At 57.5% G+C, this 16,024-nt stretch overlaps 1 protein-coding gene and 1 long non-coding RNA gene across 4 annotated transcripts, besides 1 other annotated feature; both read left to right on the forward strand.

Annotated features, from left to right (window-relative positions):
- The first annotated feature begins 253 nt into the window (after nucleotides 1-253).
- Nucleotides 254-13,362, forward strand: CLEC18C (C-type lectin domain family 18 member C). Of its 3 annotated transcripts, NM_173619.4 has the most exons (13): nucleotides 254-418; nucleotides 640-869; nucleotides 1,414-1,505; nucleotides 3,708-3,947; nucleotides 8,317-8,414; nucleotides 8,835-8,956; nucleotides 9,114-9,221; nucleotides 9,748-9,840; nucleotides 10,220-10,326; nucleotides 10,961-11,090; nucleotides 11,363-11,459; nucleotides 12,352-12,443; nucleotides 12,950-13,362. In NM_173619.4, the coding sequence occupies exons 2-13, from the start codon at nucleotides 746-748 to the stop codon at nucleotides 12,985-12,987; spliced, it is 1,341 nt and encodes a 446-aa protein (NP_775890.2). In that variant the 5' UTR covers nucleotides 254-418; nucleotides 640-745; the 3' UTR covers nucleotides 12,988-13,362. The 3 variants fall into 3 exon arrangements, with proteins under 3 accessions (NP_775890.2, XP_047289948.1, XP_047289947.1); XM_047433991.1 differs by lacking the exons at nucleotides 254-418; nucleotides 10,961-11,090; nucleotides 12,950-13,362 and adding an exon at nucleotides 11,154-11,257 and having other exon boundaries at nucleotides 460-869; nucleotides 3,708-3,962; nucleotides 12,352-12,440; XM_047433992.1 differs by lacking the exons at nucleotides 254-418; nucleotides 10,220-10,326; nucleotides 12,352-12,443; nucleotides 12,950-13,362 and having other exon boundaries at nucleotides 458-869; nucleotides 3,708-3,962; nucleotides 11,363-11,455.
- Nucleotides 13,825-14,754: an enhancer, noted in NCBI's record as "H3K27ac-H3K4me1 hESC enhancer chr16:70221261-70222190 (GRCh37/hg19 assembly coordinates)". NCBI's record gives its function as "activates a minimal SCP1, AML or CMV promoter by ChIP-STARR-seq in primed H9 embryonic stem cells {active_cell/tissue: H9 hESC(primed)}" and the evidence as "EXISTENCE:reporter gene assay evidence [ECO:0000049][PMID:30033119]".
- LOC105371328 (uncharacterized) lies at nucleotides 14,789-15,719 on the forward strand. The gene is made up of 2 exons (NR_135173.1): nucleotides 14,789-14,840; nucleotides 15,309-15,719. It is a non-coding gene; the product is annotated as an uncharacterized LOC105371328 (long non-coding RNA).
- The last annotated feature ends 305 nt before the right edge of the window (nucleotides 15,720-16,024 follow it).

A 16,024-nucleotide genomic window follows, 5' to 3' on the forward strand; every position in this document is an offset into this window, starting at 1 on the left:
CTCACTCCCCCCCTGGCCTGTAGTCACGTTGGTGAGGGTGGTGGGCACCGGGGCTGGGCCCAGCCCCCGACCCTGCCCAGACAGACTTTCCTAAGGCACCCTTTTCCTCGTGCAGGTGCGGCCTCAGCCCACCCCCCTTTGAGCCCACAGATTGCACCCCTCTGGTGTGCGGTTACCTCTTGCCTATGTTTAATTCATGGCTGGGGGGTTGGGACGAGCTTCCCAAGAAAGGAAAGAACTCCCCTGGGGTCTTGCCCAGTTTCTGCTCACCAGAAGGACCATAGCCGAGGTCCTCCTCCCAGGGCCCGGGGCTGGGGAGCGGAAGCCATCAGTGGGCTCGGAGGACACTGTCCCAGCCAGGACACGGCCATCGGTCACTAATCTGCAGCACTGGAATGTCCGCAGGCCAATCAGCGGGGTCTCTGGGGGCTCCCCAAGGGTGCTAATAATCCCACAATGATTAGCAGGGGCCGCGGGTCAGTGCACGCCACTCTGCCTGCTGTCGGGGGCGGGCTGGCCAGGCCGAGGCCGGAGCAGGCAGGCATCCCCCGGAGTTGTCTCTTTTCATGCCAGCGCCAACAGGAGGCTGTCTGGACACACTGATTACTCACTCACCAGCCTCCCTCTTTTGTCCACCAGCCCAGCCTGACTCCTGGAGATTGTGAATAGCTCCATCCAGCCTGAGAAACAAGCCGGGTGGCTGAGCCAGGCTGTGCACGGAGTGCCTGACGGGCCCAACAGACCCATGCTGCATCCAGAGACCTCCCCTGGCCGGGGGCATCTCCTGGCTGTGCTCCTGGCCCTCCTTGGCACCGCCTGGGCAGAGGTGTGGCCACCCCAGCTGCAGGAGCAGGCTCCGATGGCCGGAGGTAAGGGACACCTGGTGAGGAGGTAGGTGGAGGCACCATTATGAGCTCTGAGGAGTGGGTGCTAGGAGACTTCTGGAAGCCCGGTCCCAGGCCTGAGCCCCAGGCCGTGCGGGTGGTTTAATGAGGAAGCCCTGGGACAGCCCGGGGGCGGTGAGGGGTGGATGCTGGACTGGGGAGGAAGGAGGAGGAAGGAGGACCAGGGCTGGGGTCAAGGAGGAACGCCGAGGAGCGCTGTGGCTGGGGCCTGGAGAAATCCGTGGCCCGGAGGAGCCCCAGACAGGGGCCTGCGGGAGCCAGGGCTGGCCCCTACACCCAGCCCGCACCGCTGTTCCCTCCCGCCACCCCAACCCCAGCACTCAGCCCACGCCTGCTGTACCTGGTCTCTCTCTCAGCCTCGCTCCATTGCTATGCCCCACGTCCCCTGCACCCACCACACTCCTCTCCCATCTTGTTTTCCAAGGGCAGGGACACATGCTTATTCTGCCGTGTGTTGGGTTCAGGTCCCCCCATCCTCGGGCTGCCTGACCTTCTCTCTCCACCCCAGCCCTGAACAGGAAGGAGAGTTTCTTGCTCCTCTCCCTGCACAACCGCCTGCGCAGCTGGGTCCAGCCCCCTGCGGCTGACATGCGGAGGCTGGTGAGTACCCGACCCAGCTGGGCTCTGCCAGGGGGGTGGCCGGAGGCGCGGACCCCAGAGGGCGGCTCAGGAGGCCACGCCTGTCCAGGTGCCCTTCCACTTGACCAGGGTGGGCAGGCACAGCCAGCCACCTTGCCCCTGAGGGACGGAGGCCCTGGTTGCTGGGGGTCTCTGCAGTTTCTTAACCCCCCACCCTCAGTTCAGGAGGTCGGGCCCCTTGGCTCCCACTCGCCTGAAGGGCAGGACCTTGGGCCTTCCCTGGCATCTTGTTGCCACAGAGACCAGGAGCCACAGGAGGAGCCGGATCCCCTCCTCCAGGGAAGGGGAGCTTCACGAGGAGCCCTGCAGGATGGGCGGCCGGGCCAGGGAGGGAGAAGGTCGTGCTGGGCTGGGGAGGGGCTTCTGTGCGGCAAGGACCCAGCGCCTCCTCCTGAGCTTATCTGAGCCACGAGGACGGGCCTTGCCCATGTTCTCTGCTCACTCACTCGTCCACATTTTCCACATTTTCAGCAGGGGCCGGGGGTCGGGGGTATAGAGTTCCCCACCAGCCCGGCTGGGGCTGCGGGGTTGGGACTGTCATCTGGAGGCTCAGAAACGCTGCCCTCCATTGTCTGGGACCCCAGCAGCCCCAGCCCATGTTAGCAGGCCAGGGAGCCAGGGCAGGGTGGTGGGGGCGGGAGGGTTCCCCATGGCTGCTTCCCATGAACTCCTCCAAGGCAGGTGGCCACAGTGGCGACCTTGAGCACTCTAGGGTCAGTTTCCCAGGAGGTGGGGGTGGGGTGGCTAAATGCGGGGGGTCGCTTCTCCCCCATTCCCAGCCCTGAGTGGCTCTGCCTCTCCTCAGGCTCAGACCCTGGGCAACCAGGGGTGCTCCCAGCTGTGACCTCCGTGGTTGGGTACTCCTGCCTGGGACCCCAGGAGGGGCTGCGGTGGTCGTTGGCTGGCAGCTGGCACCCTTTCCAGGGCCCTTTTGTCAAAGTCTTAGAAAACTTCATTTCCATAAAGGTGCAAATGGAGCTCCATGGCTCAGCCTCCCTCGTGGCCCGGCCCCGAGCACCCTCCGGGCCTCTAGGGCTCCAGGGCACCCCTTCTTTGGACACAGTGGAGACTGAAGGTCTTGTGGGGGTGGAGGGCTGCTGAGGGACCCCGGGGAGCCCCCAGCTCCTGGCCCCAGCCTTCATCAGAGGTAAAACCCCGATGGACATTAGTGCAGGATGAAGTTGGCTTGGGGTGCAGCCCCGAGGGGCCCCCCTCCCTGCATCCACTCAGTGCTTGTGAGTCCTATCCTGCAGGCACCTCCCTGCTCCGTTTACAGATGAGCTCAGGGAGTCTCGGGAGATCAGGGGACTGCACCAAGTCACCCAGGGGTGGTGATTGCCAGGCCCACTTGTTTAAGAAGAGGGAGGGGGCTGGGCACGGTGGCTCACACCTGTAATCCCAGCACTCTGGGAGGCTGACACAAGCAGATCACCTAAGGTCAGCAGTTTGAGACCAGCAATGGCCAACATGGTGAAACCCCGTCTCTACTAAAAATACAAAAATTAGCCAGGTGTGGTGTCACATGGCTGTAATCCCAGCTGCTTGGGAGGCTGAGGCAGGAGAATTGCTTGAACCTGGGAGGCGGAGGTTGCAGTAAGCCGGGATTTCTCCACTGCACTCCAGCCTGGGCGACAGGGTGAGACTCTGTCTCAAAAAAAAAAAGAAGAGGGAGGGGGCGGGGTCAGCTGTGCGTGGTGGGGAGCATATGAGGCCAGGCTCCTGGGGGCAGGAGACTAGGGCAGAGAGGCGTGGCTGTAGGGCTTTTTGCATCACAGGAGGGCAGCATGGCCGGGTGGGAGCAGTGGAGCCTTTCTGACAATGGCCAGGGCCCAAACACAGAACCAGTCTGCAACGCGTGGGCACTGCTCACATGACCAGATGGGAGAAAGACAGCAGGAGCGGGTCCCACTGCCTGGGCAGGGCCGAAGGATGCCCACGACAGGATTTGGAGATGGAGGCTCAGTCGTGAGAGGAGCTGGGCTCCTCCTGGAGGGACATCAGACAACACCAGTGCTTCCTCCAGCAGGACTCCTCATCCAGTGCTCTCTTTGCCACCTGACCTGGCACCCGGTGGATGCTCAGAGATGGCAGGGGAGTTGAATCTTTGAGGCCTGGCCCAGCAGTCAAAGGCCTCCCACAGATGTCTGTTTGTGCTGCCCCCAGGACTGGAGTGACAGCCTGGCCCAACTGGCTCAAGCCAGGGCAGCCCTCTGTGGAATCCCAACCCCGAGCCTGGCGTCCGGCCTGTGGCGCACCCTGCAAGTGGGCTGGAACATGCAGCTGCTGCCCGCGGGCTTGGCGTCCTTTGTTGAAGTGGTCAGCCTATGGTTTGCAGAGGGGCAGCGGTACAGCCACGCGGCAGGAGAGTGTGCTCGCAACGCCACCTGCACCCACTACACGCAGGTGAGTGTGCTGCAGGTGAGGCCAGCGTGCCAGCTCCCAGATACAGACTTCCACTGGTCCATCTCAGAAGAGGCTACAGTTTGTCCTAAATGTTGGGATTCCTTTTCCTCCAATTGGTTTAGTTTTACTTTTTTTTTTTTTGATACGGAGTCTTGCTGTGTTGCGCAGGCTAGAGTGCAGTGGCGTGATCTCGGCTCACTGCAACCTCCGCCTCCTGGACTCAAGTGATTCTTGTACTTCAGCCTCCTGACTAGCTGGGACTACAGGCATGTGCCACCAGGCCTGGCTAATGGCTTTATACTTTTAGTAGAGATAGGGTTTTACCATGTTGGCCAGGTTGGTCTTGAACTCCTGGCCTCAAGTGATCCACCCACCTCAGCCTCCCAAAGTGCTGGGATTACAGGCGTGAGCCACTGTGCCCCGCCACATTTTTTCTTTTTTTGGAGACATGGTCTCAGTCTGTCACCCCAGGCTGGAGTGCAGTGGCGTGATCTCAGCTTACTGCAACCTCCGTCTCCTAGATTCAAGCGATTCTTGTGCCTCAGCCTCACAAGTAGCTGGGATTACAGGTGTGCGCCTCTACACCCAGCTCATTTTTTTGTATTTTTAGTAGAGACAGGGTTTCACCATGTTGGCCAGGCTGGTCTCGAACTCCTGACCTCAAATGATCTGCCTGCCTCAGCCTCCCAAAGTGCTGGGGTTACAGGCGTGAGCCACCATGCCTGGCCTAAGCCACTTTTTTTCAATCTGAAATATAAATAATTTCAAACATAAACGTATTTATTTATTTATTTGAGACGAAGTCTTGTTCTGTCACCCAGGATGGAGTGCAATGGCTTGATCTCGGTTCACTAGAACCTCTGCCTCCCAGATTCAGGTGACTGTCCTGCCTCAGCCTCCCAAGTAGCTAGGACTACAGGCACGAGCCACCACACCCCACTAATTTTTGTATTTTTAGTAGAGATAGGGTTTCACCATGTTGGCCAGGCTGGGTCTCAAACTCCTGACCTCAAGTGATCCACCTGCGTGGGCCTCCCAAAGTGCTGGGATTACACGTGTGAGACACCGCACCCAGCCTCAAACGTAAATTTAAAACGGCCCCACTCTTACCCACTACCTAGGTTTAGAAGATGCTACTAAACTAAAGCCCTGCTCCTCCCCTTTTCCCGCTGTCCCTCCCTGGAGGGAATCTTCCCAAAGTTCAGGAGCATCACTGCCAAGCAAGTTTCCATTTTTTCTCTTCATTCAACAAATATTTGTTGAGGGTCTTCTACACACACCTGGTGCTCTTCAGATGCACTGAAAAACACAAGCAAAATCCCAGGAAATATTTAATACCTCCACTACCTGTGCAAGTGGGTTGTGCATGTTTAAATATTACACAAGGCTGGGTGCGGTGGCTCACGCCCGTAATCCCAGCACTTTGGGAGGCCAAGGTGGCAGGATTGCCTGAGCCCGGGAGTTCGAGACCAGCCTGGGCCACATGGAAAAAACCTGCCTCTACAAAAAAATACATAAATTACCCAGGTGTGATGGTGTGCGCCTGTAGTTCCAGCTACTTGGGAGGCTGAGGTAGGAGAATTGCTGGAGCCTGGGAGGTGAAGATTGCAGTGAGCTGAGACTGCGCCATTGCACTCCAGCCTGGGCAGCAGGAGTAAAACCCTGGCTTAGTAAAAAGAAGAACATGTGCCCCTACAACTAGGTGCTGCCAAAGTGCTTACGCCAACTGTGCAGACCAGCAAACCAGTTCCCACTTCCCGAAGATCTTCTGGCTCCTTAATTTTTTTTTTTTTTTTTGAGACGGAGTCTTGCTCTGTCGCGCAGGCTACTGTGCAGTGGCGCGATCTCGGCTCACTGCAAGCTCCGCCTCCTGGGTTCACACCATTCTCCTGCCTCAGCCTCCCTAGTAGCTGGGACTGCAGGCACACGCCACCACACCCGGTTATTTTTTTGTATTTTGTTTAGTAGAGACAGGGTTTCACCGTATTAGCCAGGGTGGTCTTGATCTCCTGACCTCATGATCCGCCTGCCTCGGCCTCCCAGAGTGCTGGGATTACAGGTGTGAGCCACTGTGCCCAGCCTTGGCTCCTTAAGTTTTGTCAGACTCAAAGGTGTGAAAAACCTAACTCTGTTTTGTTGTTGGTGGTTGTTTTTTGTTTGTTTTGTTTTTGTTTTTGTTTTTTCGATTCAGAGTCTTGCTCTGTTGCCCAGGCCAGAGTGCAGTGGTGCGATCACAGCTCACTACAACCTCCGCCTCCCCAGTTCAAGAGATTCTCCTGCGTCAGCCTCCTGAGTAGCTGGGATTACAGGCGCCTGCCACCACACCTGGCTAATTTTTGTATTTTTAGTACTCCTGACGTCAGGTAATCCACCTGCCTCGGCCTCCCAAACTGTTGGGATTACAGGCTTGAGCCACCACGCCCAGCCTCTATTATTGTTTCTAATTTTCTTGATGTGAATGTTTAGATCATTAATTTTAAATCATTTTTTGTTTCTACTATATACATTTAAAGCTATAAATTTCCCTTTAAACGATTTCAGCTGCATCCAATAAGTTTTGATGTTTTTTCTATTTCCAATCATGATGTTGTTTTTGTTTGTTTTGAGACATGGTCTGGCTCTGTCGCCCAGGCTGGAGTGCAGTGGTGCAATCTCAGCTCACTGCAGCCTCAATTTCCTGGGCTCAGGTGATCTTCTCACCTCAGGTCCGGAGTAGCTGGGACTACAGGTGTGTGCCACCATGCCTGGCTAATTTTTTGTATTTGTAATAGAGATGGGGTTTTGCCATGTTGGCCAGGCTGATCTTGAACTTCTGAACTCACATGATCCACCCAACTCAGCCTCCCAAAGTGCTGGGATTACAGATGTGAACCACCACACCTGGCCATGATGTTGTTTTAGATTTTGAAGTGTATCTTTAAGTTTCTAAACTATGTTATCTTCTCTATTTACTTGTAAATTATTTACTTTAAATTTCATTGCATTGAATTCATAGAATGTGGGCTGTAGGATGTGCTGATTCTTTGCTATTTGTTGAAACTTGCTTAGTGGTCTAATGTATGGTCCTCCTTTCTGGTTTGCAAAAGTCCCATGCATTCCTAAAAACGATACATATTCTTTAAGTGTTGGATACATGTATATGATCACATGTTCACATCTGCCTGCTACAAGCCAGTCTTGTACATGTCATTTTTAGTCTCTACTGGAGAGTTTGTTTCACTCTTCTTATATATTGCCCATTTGTGCTATTTCCAAGCTGTTGCTGATTCTAAGACTTTAAACTGGTTTGCAGACCTGTATCCATTAGGTTTTATTGCATGACATACTACCCCAAAATTTAGCAGCTTACGATTCTGCAGGTCAGCCACTTGGGTTGGGCTCAGCAGGGAGGTTTTCTGGTCTTGGCTGGGCCCACTCATACACCTGCAATCAACTAGGGGGCCGGCTGGGAGCTGGCTGTGCAAAAAGGCCTCTAATGGTTCATCTCTGTTCCATGAGGCCTTCCAAACTCCTATACTGAGTTTGTTCATGTGGTGACTGAGCATGGTTCTATGAGAATGAGTGGAAATGGCAAGGTCTCTTAAGGCCTAGGTTCAAAATCGGCTCAGTATCACTTCTGTGGCATTCTGGTGGCCAAACCAGTTACAGAGCCAGCCAGATTCAAGGAGCAAGGAAAGAGACACCTCTCTTTGCTGCAAAAAGCTGCAGAGTCACATTTAAAGGAGTGGCCTGGTGCAAGAAATGAATGGTTGTGGTCACCATGCAGTCACAAGGCCCTTGATGTTCCAGTCTTTTTTTGGCTACTCCCCTCCACCCATCAACAATCTCCCCTCATTTCAGGTACCTCCCCTCTCCATCCCCCTCTCAACTAAGAAAGCCTTCCTAGGCCGGGCACGGTGGCTCACACCTATAATCCCAGCACTTTGGGAGGCCGAGGCAAGCAGTTCACCTGAGGTTGGGAGTTCAAGACCAGCCTGACCAACATGGAGAAGCCCTGTCGCTACTAAAAATACAAAAAAATTAACCGGGCCTGTAATCCTAGCTACTCGGGAGGCTGAGGCAGGAGAATCACATGAACCCAGGAGGTAGAGGTTGTGGTGAGCCAAGATCAGGCCATTGCACTCCAGCCTGGGCAACAAGAGCAAAACTCCATCTCAAAAATAAATAAATAAATAAATAAATAAATAAATAAATAAGCCTTCCTGAACTATTCCCACCCATGCTTCTACCCCTGCCCAGGACAGCTGCTGCTCCTGAGCCCTCGAGGAGGTAAGGGAGCCCTCTGTTCACCTGGATGATAGCGAAAGCTGTGTCCCCCTCCCCAGGGGTGGTTCACAATAGGGTTTCTGATCCCCTGTGTCTCCTGTAGCTCGTGTGGGCCACCTCAAGCCAGCTGGGCTGTGGGCGGCACCTGTGCTCTGCAGGCCAGGCAGCGATAGAAGCCTTTGTCTGTGCCTACTCCCCCAGGTAAGCCCTGCTACACCCTCTGCTGGGATGTCTGGGAGACAGGGAGGGGTGCTTTCACCGAGGGTGAGATTCCCACACATCCACCCGAAAGTAGAGTCCCTGATGCCTTGCTCTGCACCCTTGGTGGGAGAGGGGAGGAGAGGAAAGGCAGAGGGTGCTAAAGATTCTGGCCACGCAGAAGGTGCTGCTCTGCGGATGTCCCTTCCTGGATACTGGTCCTGGTATCAGGGAGTTTGTCCAGGATTGGTTTGGAGGCCATCTCTTCTCTCCCAGGGAATCTCCCTATCTCACCCAGCTCCCTGACTCCCTGGCCTGGCCGCAGGAGCTGAAGGGGCCAGGGGGGCAGGCAGCAGGGCCCTGCCTCTGCCTTGCCCAAGGCCAGGCCCTCCCACACCCTGTGGTGCCTGCTCGTCCTCACAGAGGCAACTGGGAGGTCAACGGGAAGACAATCGTCCCCTATAAGAAGGGTGCCTGGTGTTCGCTCTGCACAGCCAGTGTCTCAGGCTGCTTCAAAGCCTGGGACCATGCAGGGGGGCTCTGTGGTGAGTGCATGAGGGCTCAGTCTGGTGACCCTGGGGTGGGGGTGGTAGCATCCTACTGGGCTGTCCCAGAAGCCCTGGCCCTTAGCACCCAGGGAGGCTCCTGCCCGGCCTGCTGGGAGGAGACCCTTTTCTCAGAGTCCCCTCCTCCTCTGACCAGAGGTCCCCAGGAATCCTTGTCGCATGAGCTGCCAGAACCATGGACGTCTCAACATCAGCACCTGCCACTGCCACTGTCCCCCTGGCTACACGGGCAGATACTGCCAAGGTGAGGGCACTGGAGCCTGGGTGTGCCCAGCCCTGCTCTCGTGGCAGGTCCTAGGGCTGCTACACTTCCTGAGAGTCTCAAGGGTGTCAGAGGTGCTGACTGTGTACTCCCTGAGTCTGCCCACTGCATACATTCTTTCAACAAGCATTCACTGAGCACTAGCTGTTTGCCAGACCCTGAGCTGTGCAGGAGATTCAAAGTGAAATCAGGTTCAGCCCCTTAGGCTCTGGGAGGAGGACAGAATTAGGACCCAGAAGTGGATTCTTGCCCTACTGCCCCTCTACCCTAACCCACTCTGTGACCATGGGCAGGTCACCTCCCAAACTCCAATATGCCTCACTCTGCAATGGGGACCAAACCAAAGACACCAGGCGTGCCAGCAATCGGAAGCCTTGGTGGGTTCTGTCTATGGGAGGGGTATTCTTGCTGTGGTTGGCATTCCCTGGATGTTCGAGGCCTCTGGGGGGCAGCGTGGGGTCCAGAAGGCTGGGGGCTGAGCCTCTGCCCCACTGCCCTGCCCTGGCAGTGAGGTGCAGCCTGCAGTGTGTGCACGGCCGGTTCCGGGAGGAGGAGTGCTCGTGCGTCTGTGACATCGGCTACGGGGGAGCCCAGTGTGCCAGTGAGTCCTGCCCCAGGGCCCCCAAAGAGCCAGCTCCTCTCAAGACCCCCCTTCAATGGGGCATCAGCTCCCAGGAGCCCGCTGTGTGCCTCTCTTTCCAACTCATTCAGTGACAACACGTTGAGATCTTGAAACTGGCCACAGCATGGATATTTACACCAAAGAAATTGGCAAATGCTATAAACCATGGATTTTTTTTTTTCTTTTGAGAGAGAGCAAGCTCAATATTCCAACTTACCAGCTCGCTCCTGACCCTCACCACCCACTCTTTTGGAGCAGGTGGCCAGAGGAAGGGGCACCCTGAGCTTAGCTCCCCGGCAGGGCAGGAAAGGGCAGGGATTCTGAAGTCCACACACAAACTCAGGCTCCCCTACCCCAGCCAAGGTGCATTTTCCCTTCCACACCTGTGACCTGAGGATCGACGGAGACTGCTTCATGGTGTCTTCAGAGGCAGACACCTATTACAGAGCCAGGATGAAATGTCAGGTGACAGTCACCCCTAGCTTCCTAGGAACCCCCTAGGGCCTCAAGTGAGGGTCTTAATGCAGGGACCCTGGAGTGAGAGGTGGTTCCTTCCACGTCTCTGACCTCACCCTATTCATCAGCATAAAGCAGGGGTCGTGGACTCCAAGGCTCATAGAAGCCAGGAGGTCACTTATTGACCTGAGGGGCCAAGGTCAAGACCAACCTCCATCTAAGGGAGTTCCAGCCACTGGTTGCCTTGCAGGAATGCAAGGTCAGGGTGGCCAGAGCTCGGGGTTGTTCAAGAAAACCAGCAACCCAGACTTCCACTGGCAACTCTCGAAACCACAATTAATTACTGGGGTTGGCAATCAACTTGGATATATTTAAGACACTGTGCAGGTGAAACAGAACCTCCTCAGGGGCCAGACCTTGCCTGGGCTTGTGGGCTGCTGGTCGCGCCCCCGTGCACAGGGAGAAGAGAAGCAGACGGGAGCAGAAGGGACCCCTGCTCTTGGAAGGGAGGCTGTGCGGGCTGGGGGTGATGATAGCCCGGCCAGCACACACACGTGGCATCTTAGGCCATGGGCAGGGGTGGCAGGAAGGGGCAGCCTGGGCTCTGGGAGCCTTGCCTGTGTGACCCAGGGTGGGGTTACAGAGGAAAGGCGGGGTGCTGGCCCAGATCAAGAGCCAGAAAGTGCAGGACATCCTCGCCTTCTATCTGGGCCGCCTGGAGACCACCAACGAGGTGATTGACAGTGACTTCGAGACCAGGAACTTCTGGATCGGTGAGTGCCCAGCTGATTGGGGGTATGGCGAGTAAGGGGTTGTGATGCCCCACCCTGCTGCAGGAACCCTGGGCCATGGCGGCTGCCAGCAGATGGCAAGGGTGTGTTGAGGGCCTGGAGCCCAGAGCGGGGCCAGCTGCTCACCCCCTTTCCCGGGAAGGGCCCAGGTAGGGAGCACATGGGGGCTGCCAGCGCTGGGAAGAGGGGCCAGAAAGGCAGCTGGCAGCAGACTCCAGGGTCTGAGTGGGCCAACCTTGACTACCCCGGCCCAGGGCTCACCTACAAGACCGCCAAGGACTCCTTCCGCTGGGCCACAGGGGAGCACCAGGCCTTCACCAGTTTTGCCTTTGGGCAGCCTGACAACCACGGGTAAGTGTGGGGTGCCTCCCTCCCCTGGGCCTCCTTCTCACTTGGGCCTGCCTGGTGGAGCCCCCCATCCCGCTGCCTGGCTGGGCCCTTTGAGGGTCTGATCCTTCCCTGGTGCCTGCCCAGGTGCCAGAGAGTTGTGGGCACAGCTGGTGTGGGCCGGTGGTGGGGTGAGGGAGATGCAAGCCGGAAGGCACGTCACGTGGGGGAGAGAGGGACCCAGGAAGCCTCCATCCATCTGTCCATCCCCAGTGTCCCCTGGTGTGACTCCATCCCTCCAATTCTCATCCACTCACCCCTCCGTCTGCATGCCCTCTGCCTGCATCAGTTACACTGATGCCAGCATTCCTTAGCTGTCACCCACCTGCACTCATTCACAATACAACCCTGCACCTGCAGACCCACCAGCCATCCTGTAGCAAGAACCCTCTGGTCACGTGGCCCCACCCTGCTCTTCAAAGCCCAGCAATGCCCAGGGCCAGGGTGGAGGTGGTCCGGCTGCGAGGCCACCAAGGGCTCCAGCGATTTCAGCCAGCCCTCCTTGCCAACAGCCGGCCTGTGCCCCTGGCCTCTTGCCTGGAGGAAGTCTGGGCCTTGTTGGGTTCCCAGGTGTACCTCTCAAGTGGGCTGTCTATTCCAGTCCCCACCATCCCCACAGGCTGGTGTGGCTGAGTGCTGCCATGGGGTAGGCAGAGCTGTTACCCCAGGAAGGGGCTTCCCTGAGAAGTGGAGCAGGGCTGGGGGCTTGGGGACGGGCCTGGCTCCCGGCAGCCCCGTCGGCAGGTGGGGGCACTGGAGCCCCTGAGATGCAGGGTCCTGATGGGTGGAGGGCTTAGGCCTCTCCCGGATCCCTGACTTCACTCTTGCCTCCTGACCACCACACCATGGCCTGCAGGTTTGGCAACTGCGTGGAGCTGCAGGCTTCAGCTGCCTTCAACTGGAACAACCAGCGCTGCAAAACCCGAAACCGTTACATCTGCCAGTTTGGTGAGGGACTTCCTGAGGCTCCCCTTCTCTGATCTCTGACCCTGGGGGTGCTGCTGACCCGGTCCAGCCTGCAAGGGTATCTAGGTGGCAGGTTCAGAGTGGGTCTGGGCACACGGGGCCATAGAGGATGCCCTGTTGATGGCCTTGTACCTGTGGGCTCCTGAGCCCAGAGGGGCAACGACGGGCCCAGCTTCATACAGCAAGGCCACGCAGGAAGGACTAGAGCTACAGCTCTGCAGGGGATTTCTCCAAGGACCCTCTCCTGTCATGAAAGCTGCTGCCTGGGAACCTGTTGGGTTCCTTGGTGTTCCCGGGAGCCCCATGAACTGTGGTGGAGGCGGAGGTGAAACCTAGCATGGCACCAGCTCCCAGCAGCCTCTGCTAGGAAGGCCTGGAGCGCCACAGGGACCACGGCCATGGGCACTTCCAGACCGAGTGCAACAGGGCTGCCATCTTGGGACTGCCTGGGCTGCCATCGAGCCCTGCTCTCTTCTGCTTCCTTCCAGCCCAGGAGCACATCTCCCGGTGGGGCCCAGGGTCCTGAGGCCTGACCACATGGCTCCCTCGCCTGCCCTGGGAGCACCGGCTCTGCTTACCTGTCCGCCCACCTGTCTGGAACAAGGGCCAGGTTAAGACCACATGCCTCATGTCCAAAGAGGTCTCAGACCTTGCACAATGCCAGAAGTTGGGCAGAGAGAGGCAGGGAGGCCAGTGAGGGCCAGGGAGTGAGTGTTAGAAGAAGCTGGGGCCCTTCGCCTGCTTTTGATTGGGAAGATGGGCTTCAATTAGATGGCAAAGGAGAGGACACCGCCAGTGGTCCAAAAAGGCTGCTCTCTTCCACCTGGCCCAGACCCTGTGGGGCAGCGGAGCTTCCCTGTGGCATGAACCCCACAGGGTATTAAATTATGAATCAGCTGAACCTGTGCATGCTCATTTCAAAGGGAAATTCAGATGATCCAGGATGACCCTGGAGAGACCAGAGGGGGCCTGAGGCTTCACTGCAGCGGCCTCCACCCACCTATTCCCTTTCCTGGTCACCTTCATGGTCCAGGACACTCTCTGGAAGTTCTGGGTCTCCCCAAGAAGAGGAAGACCAGACTCTGCCTCAGTGAGGGGCAGTTCTCATGGCTGGGGCCCAGGCAGGCAGGGTATTAATAGAAGTTGCTCTGAATGTCTGGGAGACGACGCGTGTGTGTTGCCCCCACCGGCGGAGTGTCATCGCACCAGGGCCAATGGTAGTCAGAGCCTGTGCAGTCCCGCTCCCTCACCCAGCTCCTCAGACATCACCCACAAGGGGTTATCACTGTCCCAGTTTACAGCGGAAGAAATGAAGGCAGAGAGATTGAGTAACTTGCATAAGATCATACAGCTGGGAGTCAAACCCAGTGAGTCTGGCTGTCATTTATTTATTTTTTTTCTTTTCTTTTCTTTTTTTTTTTTTTTTTTTTTTTTTTGAGACGGAGTCTCGCTCTGTCGCCCAGGCTGGAGTGCAGTGGCACGATCTCCGCTCACTGCAAACTCCGCCTCCCAGGTTCACGCCATTGTCCTGCCTCAGCCTCCCGAGTAGCTGGGACTACAGACGCCCGCCACCACGCCCGGCTAATTTGTTTTTTGTATTTTTAGTAGAGACGGGGTTTCACCGTGTTACCCAGGATGGTATCGATCTCCCGACCTCGTGATCCACCCGCCTCGGCCTCCCAAAGTGCTGGGATGACAGGCGTGAGCCACCGCTCCCGGCCCTATTTTTTTCTTTTTTGAGACAGAGTCTCGCTTTGTCGTACAGGCTGGAGTGCAGGGGTGCAATTGGGGTTCACTGCAGCCTCGAACTCCCAGGCTCAAGCGATCCTCCTGCCTCAGCCACCCAAGTAGCTGGAACCACAGGTCCGCACCACCACGCCCCGCTATTTTTTGTGTTTTTTGTAGGGACGGGGTTGCACCATGTTGCTCAGGCTGGTCTCGAACTCCCGTGCTCAAGCGATCCGCCATCCTGGGCCTCCCAAAGTGCTGGGGTTACAGGCATGCGGCCCGGCGCCGGCCCAGTCTTTCCCTCTCCCACTGCTTCCCAGGGCTTCGCCTGTCTAACCGGGCGCGGGCAGTTGTCCTGTGTCCTGGCTCAGCGCGGACCTACGCGGGGTGGTCACACAGATGCCCCCAGCTCTCTCTACCTCCCGCGAAGGCGCTGAGCCCCCTGATCCCTGCCCGGGCACTGGCGCAAGGTCGCCTGCGAGCGCCAGGCCTTCCTGCCCGGTGGGAGACGGGAGGGCCCGCTCTCCGGCTCGGTCTGGTTCCCGGGTCAGCCAGCAGCCGCGCCTCTTCCTCCCAGACCCGGGACCCGCCCCTTGGCCGGGGCCGCGGCCGCAGCGCCCGGAGGGGCCGCCCTGCGCATGCCCGCGGGAGGTGGGTGACCCGGGAGCGCGCTGCCCGAGGCCGGGGGGCGGTGGGGACAGCACAGGCGGGGCGGCCGAACCGAGACCTTCCCACCCCGCCCCACGCCTGGTTGGGGACCTGACGCGCCGTCGTGAGTGGGGCGGGTGCAGGTGTCCCTGGGGGCCGGGGGCAGACACTGGTGCGGGACGACCTGCTCCCGAGGGGGTCCGCAGGCCACACCCAGAGAAACTGGGGCGCCTCCAGTCACCGCCGCGGTCCGCCCCGCCGGAGGCTTTGACCCCCTGAATCAGCGTCGGGGCAGGGATCCGCGTGGGGTGGAAGAGGCTGGGAAACTTGGGAGTCCCGGGCCTCCTCTGGAGCCGCCCGCCCTTGGCTGGCTGGTCCTTCTCTTCCTCGGCTCCCGCCGGGCTGGGCCCTGGGCCGCCCTCACTCCCTCCCCTCTGCAGCCTCCCTTGCGTTTGTCATTCACTCTGCCAGGCTCTCCTTCTGCCTCCGCATGCCCAACGATCCGGAGAAAAACACGGACCATGACATCAAAAGGCCTTGGCCAAGGAATCGTGATTATTGTGATACAAGATTCTGCACCTCAAAGGGGATCCCTGTAGTGAGTTTTGGAAAACGTACAAAGCCTGACTTACAATATGCCTGTTATCTGTGGCGTTTCATCTGGGGAACTTACTTTTCCTTGATAGGGTAAACTATTCTCATCCAGAGTATGTCCCTCAGTCTGTAAAAGTCCATGGTGCCCTACATCTATTAGGGGAGTGAGGAAGGGCAGTGGGCATTGGATCTGCTTCTTTGAAAGCCCCCACCTGTGTTTAGCTTCTGTTAGAGGCCTTTGAACCAGAGCAACTCCATCTTGAGTAGGCGCTGGGTAAAATGAGGCTGAGACCTACTGGGCTGTGTTCCCAGGTGGTGGAGGCATTCTAAGTCACAGGATGAGATGAGAGGCCGGCACAAGCAGTAAAGAAGCCGCGGCCAAAACCCACCAAAACCAAGATGGTGATGCGAATGACCTCTGGTCGTCCTCACTGCTACACTCCCACCAGCGCCAAGACAGCTTACAAATGCCATGGCAACGCCAGAATGTTACCCTATATGGTCTAAAAAGGGGAGGCATGAATAATCCACCCCTTCTTTAGCATATAATCAATAAATAACCATAAAAATGAGCAACCAGCAGCCCTCGGGGC

The sequence above is a fragment of the Homo sapiens genome, chromosome 16, assembly GCF_000001405.40.
Source record: "Homo sapiens chromosome 16, GRCh38.p14 Primary Assembly".
Lineage (NCBI taxonomy): Eukaryota > Metazoa > Chordata > Mammalia > Primates > Hominidae > Homo > Homo sapiens.